At 42.2% G+C, this 10,787-nt stretch overlaps 1 protein-coding gene across 1 annotated transcript in view, besides 1 other annotated feature; it reads left to right on the forward strand.

Annotated features, from left to right (window-relative positions):
- The window catches only part of TXNRD1 (thioredoxin reductase 1), a 134,529-nt gene that overhangs the window by 35,601 nt on the left and 88,141 nt on the right, over positions 1-10,787 (forward strand). The window contains exons 2-3 of the mRNA NM_001093771.3: positions 148-299; positions 6,640-6,700. Coding sequence (NP_001087240.1) covers positions 148-299; positions 6,640-6,700 — 213 coding nt within the window. The remainder of the gene's footprint in view (positions 1-147; positions 300-6,639; positions 6,701-10,787) is intronic.
- Positions 5,029-5,198: an enhancer, noted in NCBI's record as "experimental_23801 CRE fragment used in MPRA reporter constructs". NCBI's record gives its function as "activates a minimal promoter by MPRAs in K562 erythroleukemia cells, with activity observed for both the introgressed and non-introgressed 12:104650271 variant alleles {active_cell/tissue: K562}" and the evidence as "EXISTENCE:reporter gene assay evidence [ECO:0000049][PMID:34662402]".

Raw genomic sequence — 10,787 nt, forward strand, 5'->3', positions numbered from 1 at the left:
CTTCATTAGAGTCCTTCCTTCCTCAGATTCCTTATTTTGGCCTGTGGGACTTAAATGGTAATGCTTTTAGAGTGAACCTAATATTAGAAAATGCATCATCATGTTTTCCTTTGTGATAATTACCATCCTTACTTCCATTACTTCTAGCTAAAGATCATCACCCTGGTAAAACTTTGCCAGAGAACCCAGCAGGATTCACCAGCACGGCCACTGCAGACTCCAGAGCCCTGCTTCAGGCCTATATAGATGGTCACTCTGTGGTCATCTTCAGTAGGTCCACATGCACACGCTGTACTGAGGTAAGGCTTTAAACTCAAGGGGTTTAAATGGAATTGAAGGAATTTGACAGACTTTTGAGCTCAAATGTAAACAACTGGATTTTACCTTTAGGAAGAGTGTATGTAGGCTGGGCGCGGTGGCTCACACCTGTAATCCCAGCACTTTGGGAGGCCAAGGTGAGTGGATCACAAGGTCAAGAGATCAAGACCATCCTGGCCAACATGATGAAACCCCATCTCTACTAAAAATACAAAAATTAGCCCAACGTGGTGTCATGTGCCTGTAGTCGCAGCTACTCGGGAGGCTGAGACAGGAGAATCACTTGAACCCAGGAGGCAGAGGTTGCAGTGAGCCGAGATAGTGCCACTGCACTCCAGCTTGGGGGACAGAGTCAGACTCCATCTCAAAAAAAAAAAAAAAAAAAGGAAAAGTATATGTAGGTGTAACTTGCTTCAGAGTAATTGTAAAATGTGGATTTGATAACAAAATATTGTTTGAATAATCTTTCTGAGCTTTTGGGAAGTATGAGACATATTCAGGTAGTCGAGGTCAGGGAAGGTTAGGGTGGGGGAGTTACCAAACCGGTTGATTTGCGGCCCTTTCAGATATGTCTGTAGGGAATATTTCATAAGGAATGGTTACTTAGGGTACTACCAAATTTTGATAAATATCTCTTCATGCTTTGGTTTATTATGGGGAAAATAACTTCACAAAGAATAAACTGTTTCCTACTTGGTTCTTAATCTTAGATTATCAGAGAGAAAAGGTCAGTGGTTACAGCCAAGGGGAGGATTAGTTTAGTCCACCCTGAATAAACCAGGGTGGACTTAACCATTAACGAAGGTGAGAATTGAAAGGCAAACCTGATCTGTCTGGTGCTTCATAGGAAGGCTGAGGGCATTTAAATGTCACTGAAGTTTAGCTCTAGGCCTACACAATGGAGTCTTAGGTAAATATAACTGGCCATCTGTCCAGGTTCACTGAGAGGTTAATTTATTATTTTTTATATATATATATATATATATATATATATTTTTTTTTTTTTTTTTTTTTTTTTTTTTTGAGACGGAGTCTCGCTCTGTTGCCAAGGCTGGAGTGCAGTGGCGCGATCTCAGCTCACTGCAAGCTCCGTCTCCCGGGTTCATGCCATTTTCCTGCCTCAGCCTCCTGAGTAGCTGGGACTACAGGTGCCCGCCACCACACCCCGCTAATTTTTTGTATTTTTAGTACAGACGGGTTTTCACTGTGTTAGCCAAGATGGCCTCGATCTCCTGACCTTGTGATCCACCTGCCTCGGCCTCCCAAAGTGCTGGGATTACAGGCGTGAGCCACCGCGCCCGGCCGATTTTATTATTAAGTTTAATTTTCTCTCAACTTGTCTGCCCCATGACTTACTTTCCAGATCTCAAGGAGTTTGAATTCAGAAGTCTTTTTATTCTGGAAGCCTTACATAGAAATAAATGGGCTTATGGGCTTTTTGGACTCTCTCTCTCTGTTTCTCTCTCTCGTTCTGCATGTGTGTGTGTCTGTGCACACGTGCACTTTTTTCCCAAGTAAAGAAAAAGGAAGGTGGGCGGCAAAAACACTGAGGTACGGAGACCCTTTCATCCTTGTGTCTCTCCTGAACACATTCTGCATCGATGCCACCTTAGGCTTCATCCCTATCAATATGATAGTGATGCCTTTCATGTAGGACATCATATTGGGAGTAGGATTGCAAAGAGGCAGAAGACACAGTCCCATCCCTGGGGGTTTAGCTCAACTGAGGGCAGAACATAGGCTTAAGAAGAAAAATGATCTCAGATAACCCATGCTAAATTCTACATGATTGGACAGGCAGCAAGTGCTAGAGAATTTAGAAGAGGGCTGGGCATTAGAAATCTGCTATGTAATTCTTGGCCTCTAGGGGCTTAATTATGTAGCTCTGCAATTCTTATCTGCTTTTGGGACCTACTGCCCCTCCCCCGCACCGCCTGCCACTTCCTTTTTTTTAATCTTTAAAATGAAGGGCTTGAACTAGTTGCTTATTGAGGGTTTTTTTGTTTTTGTTTTTGAGACAGAGTCTCGCTCTGTTGCCCAGGCTGGAGTGCAGTGGTGTGATCTCGGCTCGCTGCAACCTCCGCCTCCTGGTTCAAGTGATTCTCCTGCCTCAGCCTCCCAAGTAGCTGGGACTACAGGTGCACACCACCATGCCTGGCTAATTTTTGTATTTTTAGTAGAGATGGGGTTTCACTATGTGGCCAGGCTGGTCTCGAACTCCTGAGCTTGTCGTGATCCTCCCACCCCAGCCTCCAAAAGTGCTGGGATTATAGGCGTGAGCCACTGCGCCCAGCCTGAGGGTTTTCTTAGTTCTGAAATTACGTGCTTGTCTAGTCTTTTTCGTTACCAAACAGGTTAAGAGCCTGGACTCTAAAGTCAGAGTGTGGATCTTGGCTCTGTGATTTATCAGCCATGTGACTTTAGTTATTTACCTGTGGTGCCACAGTTTCCCCATCTGTAAAATGTGGATGATAATAGTATCTATATCGTAAGTTTGTTATGAGGATTAAATTAATTAATATTTATAAAAGCCATAGAACATACCTGAGACATAGTAAACACTATATCAGTGTTTGTTAAATAAAAGAACTACTTGCATTTTTCCTTTTCCTATCAGGACTTAAAACCTTGGGTGGTTAATCTTCCTTCTGTCAGTACTGAGGCTAGATTAAATGGTAATCAACAAATACCTGACATAATGCTAAGTACAATTAATCCTATCAGTGGGTAAATAGCTACCATTTGAGTGCCAACTATGTGCCAGGCATTCGGTCACTCTACTCATATTTTCAAACATTATTAAAGAATCGGGAGCTGGGCACAGTGGCTTATGCCTGTAATCTCAATGCTTTGGGAGGCCAAGGCAAGAGGTTCACCTGAAGCCAGGAGTTCGAGACCAGTCTGGGCAGCATAACAAGACTCTATGTCTATGGAAAAAAAAAAAAAAATATATATATATATATATATATCAGCATGGTTTGCATGTGCCTGTAGTCCTAGCTTCTCAGGAGGCTGAGGTGAGAGGATCACTTGAGCCCAGGAGTTAAAGGTTACAGTGAGCTATGATTATACCACTGCACGCCAGCCTTGGTGACAGAGTGAGACCCTGTCTCTAAAATAAATACATATGGGCGCAGTGGCTCACACCTGTAATCCCAGCACTTTGGGAGGCTGAGACAGGCAGATCACTTGAGGCCAGGAGTTCAAGACCAGCCTAGGCAACATGGTGAAACCCTGTCTCTTCTAAAACTACAAAAATTAGCCAGGCATGGTGGTGAATGCCTGTAATCCCAGCTACTCAGGAGGCACAGGCATGAGAATCACTTAAAACTCAGGAAGCTGAGGGGGCAGTGAGCCAAGATCGTGCCTCTAAGCTACAGCCTGGGTGACAGAGCAAGACTCTATCTAAATAAATAAATAAAAAAAATAAAAATTAAGAAATAAATAAATAAACAGAAAATTCCAATTTTAACCCTGCTGTAGTTCTGGAATGAAAAGTTGGGCTAGCGGTCAGGATTGCTACTAGTGGTAGATAGTCAGTATGCTCCTTGCAATCCCAGATCTCTTTGACCTATCATTGTTCTTTTTTTCTTTTCTTTTTTTTAGTCCCTATTATGCCCCAGAATGTTCTTATTCTTACTGTTATCTCTGAAATCTACTAACTCCCTCATTTCCCAGCTCTCCTGCCTATCCCTGAAAATGTAAAGCCTTGCCTATATTTCCCCCAGTTTTACTTAATTAAAACTAGCCTGGGAATGAAGAACTTTTCCTATAACATTTGTTGGTTAGTTATTTGCATGCTTATTTAAACATACAGTTGCCCGAGCGCAGTGACTCACACCTGTACTCCCAGCACTTTGGGAGGCCGAGGCGGGCGGATCACCTGAGGTCAGGAGACCAGCCTGACCAACATGGAGAAACCCCGTCTCTACTAAAAATACAAAAATTAGCCGGGCTTGGTGATGCATGCCTGTAATCCCAGCTACTAGGGAGGCTGAGGCAGGAGAATTGCTTGAACCCGGGAGGCAGAGGTTGCAGTGAGCCAAGATCGCACCATTGCACTCCAGCCTGGGCAACAAAAGTGAAACTGTCTCAACAACAACAACAACATATAGTCATCCTGGCAAATTTATTTAATATCATTATCCAAACAATCCCTGGGTATGTCAAGTCTTCTAGATAAACATCCCCTGGTTTTACCTTGTTGATTTCAGATTGTTTTCAGATTGGTGCCAGTTAATTTGGAAATTAATTTTCGATGTCTTTGGCCATGAAAGATGATTAGGTGCTTTTCCTGGTAAAGTGGTGAATTTCTTCTGAGGGTGTACAACTCATATACTTAGCTGTTCACATTTATTTATTTATTTAAATTACCTTGAAGTAGAATTTTCCCAGGTTATTTTCTTTAGTTTTTATTTAATCATCTCATTTAACAACTGGGATATGAGTAAATCAGAATAGAGAAACTTTGTTTTTATATTTGTACTTGGTCTGATGAATGTGTATTTCTCTATGGGATGAGTAATGTCATTTGCATTAATTCAAGGTGGGAAGTGCCCATAAGGAAACTAACGTCTACGTAAAGGTAGCTTTCCGCTCTTGCATAACACATTAGTTACCATATGTGTTTTGCGTGCATCTTGCTGTGAAGAGGTTTTAAAGTGCAAAGATAATCCCTCTCCACCTTTTCAGAATTGCAATATTTATTTCTTATAGCTATTTCAGAGTGGTGGGGGGAACTGAATTCAGATTCAGACTGGGGCTTAGGTGACATCTAAAAGAGTTTAAGAAAAAGGCTACTGGCTGCGTATGGTGGCTCATGCCTGTAATCCCAGCACTTTGGGAGGCCGAGGTGGGCAGATCACGAGGTCAGGAGATAGAGACCATCCTGGCCAACATGGTGAAACCGCGTCTCTACTAAAAATACAAAAATTGGCTGGGTGTGGTGGCGCATGCCTGTAACCCCACCTAATTGGGTGGCTGAGGCAGGAGACTCGCCTGAACCCGGGGAGGCAGAGATTGCAGTGAGCCGAGATAGTGCCACTGCACTCCACTGGTGACAAAGTGAGACTCTGTCTCAAAAAAAAAAAAAAAGAAAAAGAAAAAGAAAGAAAAAGAAGACTAATGAGGTTGTATGAATGAACATATTTTCCCATTTTATCAAAATGTTGAATTTGGTCCTATAGAAATGATAGAAATCTCCGAGTGTACTTCCATACAATAGGAAGTACTGTTTTAGTAGTTAAGTTTAGAATGAGATGAGAATATATTTTCTTTTCTTTTTTTTTTTTTTTCAAGAATCATTTTCCTCATTGATCATCTCTGTGAACTTCAGGCTACTCTGGCCTTTTAAATTTTATTGTATAACTGGAGGAATATGGTTCTAAACTTTCCTAAATTATTGACAGGCTGTTTGTGTCTTGTACATAAAAGTCTCTTGTGTCAGTAGTTTAAATGTTATCTAGTAGTATAAGTAACTTTTAAATAAAATTTTGTTTTTTACCAGTATAATTTGTATAACCATGAGCATAAGATTTTTTGTTTGTTTGTTTTATTTAATAGTCTCAGAGCATAATAGGTTTTTTGTAACTGATTTATTGGTTGAGGGTTACTCAGCCAAAAAAGAAATAATACTTTAACTATTGTAGAATATATTTTTCCCAGGTTTGCCACATAATGCTTTGGAAACATTAAGTGTTCCAATGCTTTTTTTTTTTTTTTTTTTTTGAAACAGAGTCTTACTCTGTCGCCCAGGCTGGAGTGCAGTGGTACAATCCTGGCTCACTGCAACCTCCGCCTCCTGAGTTCAAGTGATTCTCCTGCCTCAGCCTCCCGAGTAGCTGAGATTACAGGTGCCCACCACCACGCCCGGCTAATTTTTTTGTATATTTAATAGAGACGGGGTTTCCCCATGTTGGCCAGGCTGGTCTTGAACTCCTGACCTCAGGTGATCCACCCGTCTCAGCCTCCCAAAGTGCTGGGATTACAGACGTGAGCCACCGCACCCGGCCTGCTTTTTTAAACATAGTATTAAACCCATTTTATAATGAGGTAGACTGAGTCACTAAACATATAAAATGTATCTTATGAAGCGATACAGATGAATCATTGACAATTGAATAGAATCAACAGACTTCAGATACTCTTGTAAATATCATTTCTGTCAACAGGGAGAATCTTATGGGTTACATAAAAGTGAATTGGAAAGTTTTCAAAGGTGAAGGCTGGTTGAGGAAGGAAGTAACAAAGCTGGATAAGAGATTCTCTTGTTGGTTATAACCTCATTTTTCATTTTCCTCCTTGTTTTTCAACTTCTTCCAGGTAAAGAAGTTATTTAAATCTCTGTGTGTTCCTTATTTTGTGCTTGAACTTGATCAAACAGGTAAGTTTCTGTTTAATATGTAAATCATAGCTGCTGACTGTACATTTTATCTCATTTATTCTATCTGGCTTTAATTTGTCTTCCTTGAGGTTTTTATTGTTTAGTGAGCACTTGCTAGCTGATTCTTCTTTTTGGTCTTTTAGACAGGGTACTCTCCTGGAGCTAATCATATTCACCTTTAGCCTTTACCTAGTGTATAGCCTTGGTATTACCCAGAGTTTCCTCTTATTGAAATTATTCTTCTTATTACTCATGAATCTAGTTACAGATACAGTATTTGCTGGTTTTATGGTAACTTTACTTTTGCAAATTTGTCTCCTTTCTGATAAGTAATACAAATAGTATTTGAATTAAATATAAACTGAGATGCATTCAGAAATTTTGGCAGGGACATACAAAGATCAGTAAAGGTGAAAGATCCATGAAAAGTGCTACTGGGAAATCCCAGGGAGAGAAAGATTGGTGGAGTAAAATGGAAAGCTTCTTTCTAGGACCATGGTGCTCCTTTTTTGTGGGTCAGAAAATCCCAAGGGCTCACAGACAAACATTATTAAGAATCTAATCTAGGCCTGTTGGTGACTCATGCCTCTAATCCCAACACACTGGGAGGCCAGGGTAGTAGGATCGCTTGAGGCCAGGAGTTTGAGTCCAGCCTGGGCAAGAGTGAGAGCTTGTCTCTACAAAAATAAAGAATTAAAAAGTTAACCAGGCACAGTGGCATGAGCCCATAGTTCTAGCTACTCAGGAGGCTGAGGCAGGAGGTTTGCTTGAGCCAAGGAGTTCAAGGTTACAGTGAGCTATGATTGCACCATTGCACTCTAGCCTGGATTACTGAGTGAGACCTTGTATCGAAAAACAAAAAGGATCTGCTAGTGGCCAGCACCATCATTTCTATTAGGAAAAGTGGGCTCTTCCAGATTAGGAAGAGGAGGTAAACTTCATGCCTAGTAGCTTTAAGGAAGCAGAGTCCTGGGCATTGACAGCTTCTGCTCAGTCTCCAAAGGAATACAAAGAAAGGGCCTGGCATGGTGGCTCGCTTCTGTAGTCCCAGCACTTGGGGAGGCTGTGGTGGCTGGATTCCCTGAGGTAAAGAGTTTGAGACCAGCCTGGCCAATATGGTGAAACCCTGTCTCTACTAAATAATAAAAAAAATTAGCTGGGTGTGGTGGTGTGCACCTGTAGTCCCAGCTACCTGGGAGGCTGAGGCAGGAGAATTGCTGGAACCCAGGAGGCAGAGGTTACACTGAGCCAAGATCGCACCACAGCATTCCAGCCTGGGTGACAGAGTGAGACTCTGTCTCAGAACCACAACAACAACAACAACAGCAACAACAAAGAAAGGATTCAACTAGACAGAGAAAGATATATGGCAATTGGGAGATATGAACAATTGGCATATAAGTTTCATTTCTTTTTTTTTTTTTTTTTTGAGATGGAGTTTCGCTCTTGTTGCCCAGGCTGGAGTGCAATGGTGCGATCTCAGCTCACCGCAACCTCCGCCTCCCAGGTTCAAGCAATTCTCCTGCCTCAGCCTCCTGAGTAGCTGAGATTACAGGCATGCACCACTACGCCTGGCTAATTTTGTATTTTTAGTAGAGATGGGGTTTCTCCATGTTGAGGCTGGTCTCGAACTCCTGACCTCAGGTGAGCCGCCCGCCTCAGCCTCCCAAAGTGCTGAGATTACAGGTGTGAGCCACCACGCCCGGCCATAAGTTTCATTTCTAGGGTCAGGAGGAAGGAGGTAGTTGTGTGGCAAGACATATTACTTGATGTTTCTAAAGACAGGTTCTCTAACACAGAGAGCATCACATAATAACTACCATATATAGAGTGTTAGTCCCTGTTTTACATGGACTATGCTGGGTTAAGTATAGTCACCTATCCTCACATGAACTCAGCAAGGGAGATATTCTCTATATTTTATAAATGAGGAAATTGAATCCCAGAGAAGTCAATTAACTTCCTTAACATTGACCCGGTGCAGTGGCTCACGCCTGTAATCCCAGCACTTTGGGAGGTGGAGGTGGGAGGATTGCCTGAGGTCAGGAGTTCAAGACCAGCCTGACCAGTATGGAGAAACCCCGTCTGTACTAAAAATACAAAATTAGCCGGGCATGGTGGCTCATGCCTCTAATCCCAGCACTTTGGGAGGCAGAGGCGGGAGGATTACCTGAGGTCGGGAGTTCAAGACCAGCCTGACCAGTATGGAGAAACCCCGTCTGTACTAAAAATACAAAATTAGCCGGGCATGGTGGCTCATGCCTGTAATCCCAGCTATTCGGGAGGTTGAGGCAGGAGAATTGCTTGGACCCGGGAGGCAGAGGTTGCGGTGAGCCAAGATCACACCATTGCACTCCAGCCTGGGCAACAAGAGCACAACTCCATCTCACAAAACAAACAAAAAAAAAACACAAAAAACAACAACAACAGAAAACTTCCCTAACTTCATATAAATACTGGATCTATAATTTGAACACAGGCCCATGTAATTCTGAAGCCTGTGTTATTTCCATAATACCATGTTGTCTGGCTCCTCTACGGTGACCCTTCTATTCCTTCATCAAGGAAGGCTCTTGCCCCTAAATACTCCATAGTATGAAAGGTAATCTCAATAAATAAAATTTCTTCTGGGTCCAAAAGTAGCCTTTTATAAAAATATAAATTTTCCTGGGAAACTTAAGTCACTTGCAACTTGCTGTGAATTAGGGAAAAATAACCAAACGGAACAATAACCAAACAAGCAAATTAAACTAATATAAGATAAAGCAAATGAACATGTCCTTCAAGGATGGGAAAGGTAAAGGAGGTAACATCGGAAGAGATGGGCAGGATGAATGCACTAAGTGCTTGGGGAGCATGATTTGTAAGGATTTACTCTCTGAATGTGGAAAACTTGTGTTTTTTGGTAACAAATGGCAGATGTTTTATTTCTAAATCTGTTAGTAAGTGGCTAAGGAAGTTTTAAGAGTCTGTGATTTAATACATGTATGAACTTTATTTTCAGTCCCAGAAAATAAGCATTGGATTATGAATTGACTTTTGTCCCGGTGGTTCCCCAGTTATACTTCCCTTGCTCTTTCTTTCTTTTTTTTTTTTTAATTGAGATGGAGTTTTGCTCTTGTTGCCCAGGTTGGAGTGCGATGGCACGATCTGGGCTTGCCACAACCTCCACCTCTAGGGTTCGAGCGATTCTCCTGCCTCAGCCCCCAGAGTAGCTGGGATCACAGGCATGCGCCACCACGGCCAATTTATTTTGTATTTTTGGTAGAGACAGAGTTTCTCCATGTTGGTCAGGCTGGTCTTGAACTCCTGACCTCAGGTGATCCATCCACCTCGGCCTCCCAAAGTTCTGGGATTACAGGCGTGAGCCACCATGCCCGTCCCCCTTGTTCTTTCTTAAATGTCCTCTTTACTTTCTCTATCATTTTTCAGACTATTCTTATCTTTTTTAAATGTGTGTTGCCAGTGGGGAGGTGCGGTGACTGAAAAATCTATTAAATTTCTCCTTTTCCAACTACTTTTCTGTGTGAGACTGGATTTTTCATTTACTTCTGCCAAAACAACGTATATTGCAACAAATTAATCCAGAAGCAAATATGGGAATCTAGTTGTTTTTTATTAGGACCAATGCTAAAAAAATTCAAAAAAATGTGAAACAATGCCAGTCTTCTCACTATGTTTATTTATTTTGAGACGAAATAAGTGCATTCTCAGCTCAGTGAGCAAAGGTGCAATCTCAGCTCACTGCAACCTCTGCCTCCTGGATTCAAGCAATTCTCCTGCCTCAGCCTCCCAAGTAGATGGGATTACAGGCATGTGCCACCATGCCTGGCTAATTTTGTGTTTTTAGTAGAGACAGGTTTTCACCGTGTTGGTCAGGCTGGTCTCAAACTCCTGATGTCAGGTGATCCACCTGCCTCGGCCTCACAAACTTTTGGGATTACAGGCGCGAGACCAGCTTGGCCAACATGGCAAAATCCTGTCTCTACTAAAAATACAAAAATTAGCCAGGCATGGTGGTGGGCGCCTATTATCCCAGCGACTCAGGAGGCTGAGGCAGGAGAATTGCTTGAACGCAGGAGGCGGA

The sequence above is a fragment of the Homo sapiens genome, chromosome 12, assembly GCF_000001405.40.
Source record: "Homo sapiens chromosome 12, GRCh38.p14 Primary Assembly".
NCBI lineage: Eukaryota > Metazoa > Chordata > Mammalia > Primates > Hominidae > Homo > Homo sapiens.